This window comes from Homo sapiens, chromosome 2, assembly GCF_000001405.40.
Source record: "Homo sapiens chromosome 2, GRCh38.p14 Primary Assembly".
NCBI classification, from domain to species: domain Eukaryota; kingdom Metazoa; phylum Chordata; class Mammalia; order Primates; family Hominidae; genus Homo; species Homo sapiens.
Window position 1 is genome coordinate 164057918 of NC_000002.12, and position 13592 is coordinate 164071509.

General features: G+C 36.3%; 1 annotated feature.

Moving 5' to 3' along the window:
- Positions 3242-3536: a silencer, noted in NCBI's record as "tiled region #13497; K562 Repressive DNase matched - State 13:Ctcf". NCBI's record gives its function as "represses a minimal TATA promoter and a strong SV40 promoter by Sharpr-MPRA in K562 cells {active_cell/tissue: K562}" and the evidence as "EXISTENCE:reporter gene assay evidence [ECO:0000049][PMID:27701403]".

A 13592-nucleotide genomic window follows, 5' to 3' on the forward strand; every position in this document is an offset into this window, starting at 1 on the left:
TTGGTGTTTTCTCTCACTTGGAAGGGCTTTCCTCACCTAGACAGACCTAGTAGGACTTAGTAGGACCAGACAAGGGTCCATGGAAAGGGAGACACTAAGCTCATAAAAGCTTGTTTCCATTATTGGCAGATGAGATCTTAGTGACATCCTGGTACACAGTAGGTCATGAGGGTAAGGGACAATATATGGATGTAGGGCTAATGTGTCTGCTACTAATAGCACATCTTTTTGCCTGGAGTGTCTCACTTAGGATCATGAGCTGGCAGTAGGTGGCTGATGAAGAATTTCAGATTTCAGGCAGTACTAATGCTTTGTTTCTCTATTTGAAAATGAGGGAAAATATCCATTTTTCAGAAAGCCCGAGGTGTTGTGGAAACAAGAGACCCAGACCCTCCACTGCAATGGTACCAGGTAGGTTCTTGGTTTGAAGGAACATCAAAACTATAGAGACATTTTCCAACTATTTTTAGGTCTGCATCCTTAGTTAAGCACTTGAAAGAATTGCACAGAAATATTAGAAATTCATAGACATGTAATTTTTTTTGCTCTTTTCTTGGGGAGGAATCAGAAAAATTTCTATAAATCTGTTCAACTAATCATAGACATATGTCAAGTGATTGAAAGAAATTAGCAGAAGTTTAAAGAAAATATCAAAATATGATCTGTTTGATCACTCCCTTAAGGGAAAATTTTTAATACATTATGAAGACAGACACTTTTTATTAACACAGAGACATGGAAATCAGCAGAATAAATACCTGAATTGATTATTGTAAATGCAGTTTGAAGAAATTTCAAATAGAGAGAGGCACAAACATTTGAAATCCTTTTAATTCAGTGCTTTCAAAAAAATCATAAAGACCAGTCATGTGCAGATTATAGGCAGCTGGTTTTCCTTTTGCTTTACCCTCAAATTCAAGGTGCTTCACCACAATATAGGAGCCTAATCAATATTCATTAACTGCAGAATCAGTTTTTTAAAATCCATCATTTAATTTGTTACATTAGAAGTTATGCAAATTTGTATAATTATGAAGAGATTTAGATTATAGAATTGTGTTTTACTTTGCAAATAGAAAAGCTAAGGCTGATACCAATGGCTGATTTTAGAGTGAGCTGTCTTACTAGTTCAGAATGATTACCTTTGGTTCCTATTCCAAATGATGACCAATCTTAAGACATGAACAGAACTGGTAATTAGGTGGCATACTTCCCCAGAAGATGGCAGCTACAATGCAAGAAAAATGAGGAGTGGGATCTTTACACTGTTTTTGAGATTTAATGATTTTAAAATTAAACACAGAAAAAGTCTTAATCTTATCCAATCTCCAAAGAGATTTTTTTGTTAATGTTGGAGTTGGTTTCTATCTATTGAACAGTTGAATACATATCATCCTTCCGTTTCTGAAACTTAAGCAAATGGACCAAGAGAATTGAGCACATTTAGCCATTCTTTTTTATCAGCCCAACACCCTTAAGCCAAGCACCAGTGGAGCCCAACATCATGGCACATTTCCCCACAATATACTCACACTCAACCACCACCTAGGAGGGAAAAGAGTGTGAGGGTTATTGAGCACTGAGAATTTTTCCAATGAATCACAATTATGTGAACACCTGTGCTAAGTTTGTGCTGATCCTCTGTGAAAATTTGCACAGTGCTCAACAGCCCTGAATATTTCTCATTTATTATCTCAGGTGGGGTGGTCTGCAACTGCACATTAGGTTGCAGTATGAAGCATGTAAGGACACACATCCAAGACCTCATCGAGGACCTTTTCATTCTACCTGCAGGGTACAGCTGTGCCTTTTAACAGGCTAGAGTTCTGCTTCTGAATGTCTGCTCAGAAAACTTAAGGACAAATATAGAAACCCTTCATCTGCAAGTAAAATGATTGTAGAAAATGCAATACATTTACTTACATTTCAAGAGAATCTATCATAGGATTGACATTGGGAAAAAACTAATGATCAATGATATTTTAATGAATATATAGGCTTATAATATGTTAAACTGAAAAGGTGTCAAAACTGTAAAGGATGAGAAAGAACTTTACACATAAACATACATTTTGAACGGCCACTAATCCCTCTTCTTAGGAAGTAAAAATATAGAGTGAAACTGGTCTAGATCCCCAAGAATCGGTAGGTTACTTCACTTTTGAAGTCAATGATTGGTAAGAATTGGAAAACAATTTGTGACCAGAATCCTCAAAATACTTAAAGCTTAGATGTAAGTGGTGAAATTGAGATCAGTGAATAAGCTGGATACAGGGTCAATTGTTGATTCCACAGCAGAAGTTCTGCATGACTCGAACAAGGCTTTCATTGAAACTATTCTCTGTCTTAAGAACTATAAACTACTATGAGGTCTCTGCATGTTAATACAGTATCAAGAATAGAATTTTCTTTGTAGCTCTGTAGACTTAATATTTACCAAAGACTCTTTAGTGAAATATATCTGTTACTTTGAATAATTAAGTTTAGTAGAAGATAAATTTAAGGATATGGATATAAAGACCAGGGACTACTCTGGCAGTATAAAATGTTTTAAAAGTAATACATTGGACTCTGGAACTTCATTCTACCTAACAGCATCATCTGCTTACCAGTAGGAACAAGGCACATAGTATTCTGTGGCAAATGCAATTGTTATTGAAGACAACATTGCAGTATGAGGTAACAGAGGAAATTATGAAAAAGAAATCCTGGAGCTATTGAAAAGTCCTAGGATAAGAATGTCAGTGGGTCCCTAGGTAATGGTTGTTGGTTTGGGGACACAGGAGAAAAGACTAAGGGATCTAGAGGTTTCTGATTTTGCACTGGTGTGTGGTTGGCAGATACAGGAACCCCAAGTGACTAGGCTTTGATTTGCTTTCCTTAAAATTTTTACTCATCCGGTTTCAGTCTCTGTCTCTGGTATTAGGTGAAAAGACATCTTTTTCCCTGCTGCTGAGACTGTATGTAATTAGATGAAAGGAGAAACTAGAGGCTCGGGAAAAGCATTGCTGATTTGTACCTCGGCTTAATTCCAAAGATTCTGCTTGTGAAAATTAACTTTTTCTGCTTCTAGGTCCATGGCACTCGTTTCTAAGAGGAGTTTGAAAGTTAGCTGAGTGTATGAGGAGGAGAAAAAAGGATCAGTAGGTTGGACTAGATCCATATATCACATACTTTCACCAAGAAATTAGATTTATTGGGTTTTATGAGCACCAGGCATATGCTAAGCACTTGATATATTATCTCATTTAATCTTCAGGACAGTATGAAAGAGTAACAGGTCTTATACCACTTTGCAAGATAAGGAAAATGAAGCTTAGAGAGGTTAACTAGCAGTCATGTTAGAGTCAGACTTGAACCCTCGTCTAGCTGATGGCAAAACTCAATTTTAACTACTACACAATACTGCCTCCCAGTGGCTGGAATTTGGTAAGCATTCAGCCAACATCAGCTACTGAGGTGGTGGTGTTTTTCTTAGGGGGAAGCTGGTCTTAAATCCTTTAGGCTTAAGTCTCAAAGGCATATAGAAAGAGGTCTTGCTTATCAGAATTATTAAGATGTCTACTCTCTTACATAAAAATGGCTAGTTCAAGCCAAGCTCCAAGTGTGACTGTAAGCAAACAAATAGATGACTACCTTGTTTATGAAGCATACTTTGAATTAGTTCCTAGTCAAATATAAAAATGCTTGGTGGTCGCTTGAAGCATAATTTGTGCCAACAAAATTCCACCAAGCAAAGAGATTCTGTAGTGTCAACATTTAAAACTTCTATAAATACTTCCTTCAGTTTCCACAAAGTATAAACTAATAAAAAAGAGAAATAAAAAGTCAATAAAGAAAAAAAGTACTTTTTTGGGTAGAAGGCTAAGAGAATGAATGCATGTAATATGTCTTGAAGTGTTAAGAAAATATTTTCTTTAGTTTTTAAGTAGAGTGAAGAAAAAATAATATGTGTGTAAGGAAGGACAAAATTTAGTTGTTCACAGGCTTGGCCTCAGGCAAAATTCTAAAATAGGTATTTTTCATGTACACGTCCCTAGCACACACACACATGCACAAAGTTGTTCTTCAATGCCCTTTTCTCAATGTTCAGTGTTCTCTCTCTTCAACCTCCAAAGCGTTCACTTTTTGGTACCCCCTCGGATTCCCTAATTTCATTCTTTGTTTCGAAATCCCACTGCACAGCTTCTCACAGTATAGACATTTCCTCTCTTCATTCATCATAACATTGCAGTGGACTAGCCCATTTTTTTCAAGATATTGGTAGGTCACTGGTTAGCAATGCCTATGAACAAATTATAATTAAGGTCTTAATGAATGGTAAAAGGCTTAATGTTTTATTTTACCTTGCTGTATTTATTTCATATTATGGACTTTTCTAGATAAAATGCCTCAGATCGAAATAATTAGTTCCAAATGATGGGAATTTCAAACTCTGTGATAGGTTGGTGAGAAAGCGATTTCTGCAAAGCTGTCTTTGCCCCATGTTCCTTGAAATATGTGCCAAAGGTAAATGTTTACTTTACCTATGTATAAGGTTGACCCTAGTGAACAGGTATATTGAAATATTATAATCCCTGAGAAGAAAGGTCACTGATAATGGCATTAATGCTGCCAGTCCTTACTTTCTATTAAATGATACTTCAATATGCAACATTCTACACTTGATCTCTGGTAAATGGATGTTAGTGACCTTGAGTCAACAATCTTTGCCTTCTTTAGACATTGGATAGCACTATAACATTTTAAATTTATAATTGTGTTTACTTTTAAAATGGAGTTTAAAAGTCTTTAAACTGGATAGGTAGAGAAATTGAAATGACGATACAGAAAGTCTGTAAATGGTTGGATGGATATCACATATCACACCATCTATGGCTCAGCAGTAAATGCACTGTGATGGCAGAACCATGAGGGTATATCACATTAATGCATAATTCAAGGTCTTTAAGTATCTGTGAGTCGTTGACAAGATACATTGCCACGTGTTTTACAATCCACCATGTCAATTCATTGTCTTTATAACGTTAAATGAATGTGGGCTATAGGCTTTAAAAGTTTCTGGACCAGCTTCTTCATTATGAAGAAGGTATTGTTTCTGTCCACTTGTGCTGTGTGGAACATTTAAGAAGCTTCCTACCTTCCCCTAACTTTTCTCCCCAACTATGGCCAGCAACATTATGGTCTCTCCACATATATGCCCCCCTCTTTTTTTTTTGAGACGAGTTCTCACTCTGTCACCCAGACTGGAGTGCAGTGGCAGGATCAGGACTCACTGCAGCCTCAGCCTCCCAGACTCAAGTGATCTCTCCCGCCTCAGCCACCTCAATAGCTAGGACTACAGGCATGTGCCACCACACGGGGCTAATATTTGGTATTGTGAGTAGAGACGGTGTTTCACTCTGTTGCCCAGGCAGCTCTCAAACTCCTGGAGTCAAGTGATCCACCCACCTCGGCCTTCCAAAATGTTAGGATTATAGGCCTGAGCCACACCCAGCCCCACATTTATACTTATCACAATTGCCAAAGGACAAATTCTTCCACGGAGAGGTGTGAATTACTAGAAAGGTTGGTTGTGTTGTCATTCATGTTTTGTAACATTTTAAAATGTGGTTTTAAGCAACAAAAACTTTTTTTAGTAGCAAAGAACATCACAGACTATAAAGGAAATGATTATTCTGCTTTATCTGCTAAATTGCATGACATGGCGGCCTTGTTCTCAGTTGGACAATGCATCCATGAATTGTATCATATTCATGTTCATGATGGAAGCCTATATAGTAATTAAAATAAATTAACCAATTCTAAATGCATGAACATGGATAAGTCTTGAAAACATAATGGTGAGTGAAAAAGCAAGTATCTGATATATGCCATTTATGTACATTTAAAATTATAGAACAATGTAACATTATTTATGGATACATACATATGTAGTAAACATACACAAACGTGGATGTGAAAGCTACAAACCAATTTTGACACAGTGGCTCTTACCTTTGGCAGGAAGTGGGGATGATAATTAAAGGGGGTCATGACATCACTTTTGGGTACACAGTGGTCTTCAATTCCCTTTGTATTATTTTGTTAGGAAGAAAGGCATGAAGCAAACATGTAAAATTTTATAATTCACTTACAGTTATTAAATCATAGTGAATACACGAGTGCCTATTATTCCCTGTACTTTACACTTTTGAAATATTTTATTATAATAATAATGAATTGGTAAAATAAACTTCAAGTTTAAGATGGGAATTGACTAGTAATTTTTAGTACTGTCTCTTCCAAATTTTCACTAAAATTCCCAAGGAGACATGAGAAAATGTGGAAAGCCACAATTTAAACTAGGGCAAACCAACAAGGCTAACTCTAGAATCCAGGAGGAACTGATTCATAGTAAAAGTCTAATAGAGCAGGAAGGAGAAAAACCTGTTCAGTTTTCAGGTAATAGCATCTACCGGCTTTACTTCCTGGGAACAAGAAGTGTGTATGTGTCGTAGTGGGGGATGTGCGTGGAGAATCCCAAAACAAAACTTTTGAAGGGTAAAGTGAACAATGCACATTGGAATATTTTGGAAAATATAAAAAGGGAGAAAGTAGGAAAGCAGAACCCATGATTCTCACGTGCAAAGCCAGCCAGTCCTATTTCCAACCTCAGAGCTACTGTGGCTTTTGACAGTAGGGAAAGGAGATGTTCAATGATACTTCTTTGATTGTACAATGAGGTGTTCAGCCACTGGGGAACCCTCATTTCATGTCCCCCTTCAACCGCACAGCTCAAAAGCCACTTGGAATATATATATTTTATATATATATATATATATTATATATATATATATTTTATATATATATATATTTTATATATATATATATATATATATATATATATATATATGATAGGACATTTTCTTTTTCCACATGAAATGTTTTCCTGAATCTCTTTATTGCCTATTCCTTTCTTAACTTTAGTTCCCTATAGAAACATTCAGTGTCTGGAGAATAAAAAGGAGAGAAAAAAAGAAGCTTTTTTTAAATTAAAAGAAAAATACTAAAGCATGTCATAGCATTGTTGGAAAGAACTAAAATTATATTTTGGTGTTTTCTGTTTAAATGAAGTGACTTGATTTGCATGAAGTGACATTTGTAGGGATAAATACAATACAAAAAATGAATTTCTGGATTTAGAACTTCTTCCTCTACTTTTATACTAAGATTTTTTTTTTTTATGATCAGGTCATATATTCCTCAAAAAAAAATGGTTTTAAAGGAAACTCTGGTCCACCTTTATCTCTAATGGCCCGGTTGGGAGTTGCTATAATAATCCTTTTGCTTTTATGTGGCCATCTGGAGGCCTATTAAAAGGAGTATCTAAAACAGACTCCCCAAGTGTGCTGAGTTTGTACATTTTCACCAAGTCACCAAAACAGGAGCATTTTTCCGACTGCAGGGAGAAGTGACCCTTTACAGAGAGGGGTGGAGTTGGGGGGGAAAGAGAGAGAAGAGACACAGCACCAGCAAGAGGCACAACTTGACCTTTCACTCTTGCCATTGTGAACAAGTAGTAAGAATAGTGGTTGATTCTGGTGCATGCGTTTTAAGGGTACAAAGATCTACAGCAAGGTTTCTTTACACCTCTGGGGCTCTGTGATGAGATGGAAGAGGTTAGGGAACGTGGGAACGGGCAACATTGAGAATTTAATGAAGCATCATTTTTCAACTGGATAATATTCTGTTTTGATTTGTGTGGAAAGCAAATATGAAATATTGAAATAATATTTCAAGTTCCCAGTTTTGTGGCACAAATAGACATACAGAATATTCTTGCCTTTCTGAAAACTACACCTTTCATCAAAAGTATAATCCAACAGAGTTTAGGACATAAAGGGGAGGTAGTGGAATGGAATTATATAAAAGTTGGCATTTGTCTTTAGTAGATTATTAAAATCGCTGTGGTAAGAAATCTGCTCATAAAGACAGAACAAGTTCATAGGGGCTGGATATCATTTGTCCAAAATAGAGTCTTTTCTCTACACTCATTAACTATCTCGCCCAGTAATGTGGTTGTAATCCTATTAAACCTGATACATCAAAAATTAAAAAAAAATTTAGTTGCTGTCTCAAACTGCACTACAACTCAGATCTAGGACCAAATAAGATGCATTAATTGCTTTACTGCTTCACTGCAAAGCCACTCTTAAAACATAATTCCTTAATGAAGTCCGTTAATTTGTTCATGGCAGTACACAAGCTGTTCAAAATGACACAGAATTGCACTCTGTTTTCTAACCCCTGCAGTTTCTTCTGTTAGTCACTCTGTCTTGTGTTGTTATCCCATGGATAGTAATTATTTTATAGTGGCTGTAATTAGGAGAGAATTAGGCTTGGTAAACAAAACCTGCCTTCTCCTGTTAATAGCTAAGGATAATAAATTTGGCTCTGACATTCACTATATTTGGACAAGGCTTGGCCTACTTCCAGTTTTCCCAATAAGAACTTTATTACATAATTATGCCTTGGAGGGGCTTATATTACAAGGTAATTTTTTTTTGTAAAGACACATATTGCATGGCTTCTAGCCAGTAAATGATATACTGTAATATATGCCTCCAATAAATGTTTTAAACAAAATCTCTCTAAGCAATATTCTGCTAGAGCTACACACTGCTCTTCAGCATATATTATTTACAGGGTTTGTTTGTTGAGTTTTTCATAATGTAATTTTTTTGCCCATATTGTCCAATATTATGACAAGTTTCTTTAAAAAAGGTCTAAATTATTTCTATCAGCAAGTGACATGCTTGGATCTTTAACTTTCTGTATCCCAGTTCCTAAAGGTGCATCAGAGGCTACCATAAAAGGAGCATGAAGCAATATTTTATTTTTTTGTAAAGACTGGCTGTTAGTTTGCATAAGTTATGATACCTTTGCTTAAACTGATTTATTTTCTTTTCCATTTTTAACATAAGTGAAATAAAATTATTTTGTTCCACTGCAAGCCATATCTCTGACGATGCATGTGCCTTTAGTTGATCCTTTACTGGAAAGGGTCACTCAGATATGTATAGATCACCAATAACACATGATATCACAGAATGCTAAAGTAAAGAGCACAGCATTCAAAACAGGTTCAAAATAAAAATCATAAAAATATAACCTCTACTTAGAAAAATCATGAGAAAATATGCAAAAGTGAGATTATCTTCAGGGCAAGAAATAAAAGTATTAGATTCTAAGTAAATACAAAAGACATAAATCCGGTTTACTTAGAAGCCAAGTTCAAAATTATAGCAATTCTGAATTATCTAATATTAGGCATAGAGAGATTACAAAGGAGAACAATAATATTTTAAAAGGACTTTGGAATTTTTACTCCAGACACTCAACTTATATTTAAAATTCACTGAAAAGTGGAAAATTAAGATGACCCACATGCATAAGCCCCCAGCCCCACCTTCTTATCCCTAAAAGTATGTCTCAGTCATCTGCAAACTAAAGGGAATAATTTTTCACTGGATTAGCTGGATATCTGTCTTAGTTACCCCAATTCACTCGCTTGGGTATTGGGGCTTACAAGTTACTTAAAGAGGGTACCAACTGGATTCTTAGGTGGCTATTCACATTGATAAAGGATCTCCAGTTTATTTAGTCAGGTTTTCAAAGGACTCTGCTGTGGAAGCTCATATGAATTATGCATATGCAAAAAGTCTCCCTTCAAGGAAGATGTGATCCCCTGCCTCTCTGTTCCCATTTCTGGAGAAGACAGTAAAAGGCTGCATTTATTCTTCTGCTAAATCATAACCCTCATTTTTAGCAGAGGGTGACTAGAATTGCATCAGATCTCCTTGGAATCAGAAATGTCTTTAGCCTCCATTTTCTTCTTTTCTGCCCTGGTGTTGACCAGAACGTAAGAGACCAGCCATTTCTATAATTGTTCTCTCACTTGTTGTCCCAAAGCATTGAGCATAAAAAAAAAATGAGCATTTATTATATTTGTGTGTTAAGCAGCAGGGTTTTGGCATTCAGACTTAGTGCTTTCTTTAGGAAAAATAATTATAATTATTATTCTGTTTCAGGAACATCATTCTGTGTCAGTAAGGTTAAACTCTCAAAAATGCATTTTCTAAGCATTTTTACATTTACTGAGTGCCTACTGCATGCACTGAAGCATCATGAAAATCAGGAAAATGTTAAAGGGGGCAGGTTTTATCCCCCCCACTACAAGTTTAAGTAACTCAAAGCACTTAATGCAGGGATCTTGTTTATCCTCAGAAAATCCCAGAAGAATGTCAAATCCTGTTTCCTGCACTAACAGTGGCTGCTACTGCTGTTGTCTCTTTTTTTCTTTACTCTGCAGAAGAAACAAAAGCACAGTGAGATTAAATTGCATACTCAAAATGCTGCAGTGAATCAATGGAGAAAGACTGGCCAAGACCAGTGATTCAGAAGCTAATCCTCAATCTGTAGCTCCTGCCTCATTCTGCCCTTTCCCTGTTTTATTGGAGTTATGCTGATGTAGGCTTTAATTAGACAGAAATATTAACTTTACTATTGATAATCAGTAGGTACCAAATCTTCATCAAATCTTCATTCCTCATACTAATGGTAATCACAGAAATGGGGTGAGAAAGTGGTGGGCAGATTTGTATATATCAAAATACTCTTTCCCAGTGAGAAAATGACCCTCTGGAAACTAACATCATTAAATGACAGGTTTCACATTTTAGCCAGAAAAGAAGCTATGTTTCCGTTTTTTTTCCTGTTCTTTTTTAAATAATAGGAAATGCTTTTATTAGGATACAAAAATTACTATTACCATACTTCCTAAGTGGCTGAAGTAATCATTCTGATGAGTCTGAAAATAGACTGTTAGAGAGAGATGCTTTGGATATTGAAGGCACATGTTGGCATGAAACTTAAGATTTTTTGTCTCCATAACAAATTTGAAAAAATAAAAATGATGACTCGAAAGATGACAGAGTCGTAGACACTAAAGATGAAAAGACCTATAAGTCATCTCATCTACCCCTTGCTCATGCAGTTCTTTAGAGCATATTTGTCCATTGAAGTTTAACACCATTCTAGAATTGTGTCTTTTACTTCTGAGCAGACATTTCTGTATCAGTTTCAGGAGAACAATCTTAAATCTTGACTTGCTAACCTGCCCTGGCCATAGCCCTGTACACAACAACCCAGCTAAGTAAAGGTCTTTCTCCCAACCCCCTTTCATGACCATTATGTCCTTGAAATTTTGTGCTTACAAAATTCTCTTCTAACTTCAAAGTGTACGACAGTCCTATGGAGTTGGGTCATGATTTGGCCACTCTATTAAGTTGTTTTAATCCAGTCTCATAAATCAATCTCTTTAGCTCCTATATCATGGTGGTGGCTGTTTTGTGACATCCTCTAATTTTTTGACATGATTCTCATACTGAAGTCTCTCGAGCCCAAGTAGATTTCAAGGTGAGGAATGTGTCTTGACAAGCATAAAGTCATCATAAACTCCCATGATTTTGCAGGTATTAATATACCCAGGAGTAGAAAGTGAAAGCTTTTGAATTGAAAGGGGCAAAGAAAGTCTCATATATAGTATTTTGCTGACTCTTTATCCTATACAGTGCATTTGCTACAGAAAGCATCCCCTGCCTACACCATCTACAATAATATACAGTGTGGCTGGAAAAGACAGGAAAAGTCAGTTTGTATCAGAGCAGTTAACTTGGCTTCCACAATTCCTCCCCTGCTGCTCTCCTAGTCCCACTTCAGCTGTATTTCACTCCATTAACTACAGCAATGGGTATTTGCTCTCCTCTCAGTAAATGTGTGTGGGTGTGTATCTGTGTTTGTATTTGAAAAGAGTTTATGGAGACAACTCCAAATAGCTCCAAAAGTGATTGCACAATTAAAGAAACTACTTTCCTGCTGTTGATGGTTATTTCTTAAAACATCGTCTGTCAGGCTAGCTACTGAGATTGATGTTCTGAATATATTTTTCTTTTTAAACCATAAGGAACTAACTTCTTCATGTCTTTGCCCTAACTTCATCACGCTTTTCCTCAATCTTTCTTGTGGTCTGATTGTGAGATTAATTCCCAAAGGACTATCAACATCCACTGTGGATGTTAAAGAAACGGGTTCAGGTTCAGGTCTGGTAAGGTTTTGAACTCTCTGCAGACTATTCCAGGCACTTTGAACTTAAGTTTTGAATTTTTCTATTAGCTAGTGGAAATGGTAAAATAAGCTCAAACACAGTGACTTCCAACTGCGGCAAGCTTAGCACAAATCTGCTCTGCTTACATGGGGGCAAAGGACAATTTGGGGTTTACCTGAGGGAGTTACTATAGTCACAGCATGTTTTAGTTTTTGTTGGAAAAAATAGTATTTTGGACACTGTCTTAATGCTAATAAACTGACATGTAGGTTAGATCAGTTCTCTTTTATACTGACATATATGACATGATGAGGATTCAGAAATTTTGTTTGGGAATATCCATTGTCATTATTCAATAGCTAAAGAAATAGAGAAATAATAATATCTTTGTCAATTAAAATTTGGGGATAAACATTGAGAAAACCAGCATAGTTTCTTAAGCTACCATACATATAGACGGCCAGGCCTAGGCTTTGTAAAATGTGCCTGAAATGTTCTCCTAAATGTCTCAAGAGGAAAAGATAAGTAGTGTACTGATGTCCAAATTTAAGAATTTTGTGGGAAATCTCTTTGACCAGAAAATGCCTCTCCTCTGTGCATCAGTTCCTACGGCATCCTTGATAGGGAAAAAGGCCTTATGTACCTTAAAATTTATACTGCAAATACATCCAGCAATATTTTAGGTTATAATAAATTATAAGTGGTTGATCATTTATAATGTACAAGTTTTAATGAGGAAGTATATATATCCCCTAAGAGTAGACAAGAGGTGTCATTAAGACAGAAAGAAGACACCTAACCTACTGAGAACAAACTTCACATTTTTCTTAAGCATCTTCCTCTGATCAAAGATTAGGTGGCCTTGGGCAAAAAATTACTCCTGCTCCTTAAACCTCAATCTCTGTGAAATATGAGGTTTAGAGATGATCTGTGTAGAAGTCTTTTATTTTTCCCTCAAAATGAAAACCACACATCCTTCAGGTAGCCATCTCCATCCTGTGGACTGCAAGGATGACAGCCTAACCCAAGCTGACCAAATCTGAGTCTTTTTAGAAAGGTTCAATTTAAACAGAGACAGAGAGAAGTAGAGGAGAGTCAGCGGAGTCACTGTAAAGGAGTGGAGCCCCCACCGAGAAAGTACAGAGGTCCACTGAGATGGAATTGCCACTGCTTCTGTCCTCCTGGAAATATGTAGCTTTGCAATTCCTTAAGTTGTGTTAGCTATCTCCGCAGTCTTCCAATAATCTCCTTCCTCCCTTTTAACTTAAATGCAGTGAGAATCCATTTCTGTTGCTTCCACCCAAACATTAATTGATGCAATCATCTTGTTGAAAAATACCTCGTCTGATGCAATGAGAAAAGCCTTGCCTCTATCCCTCTATTCTCAACTTTGGCTGCCTAATAGACTTACATGGGGAAAGATATATCAGAAGCAGACAATATT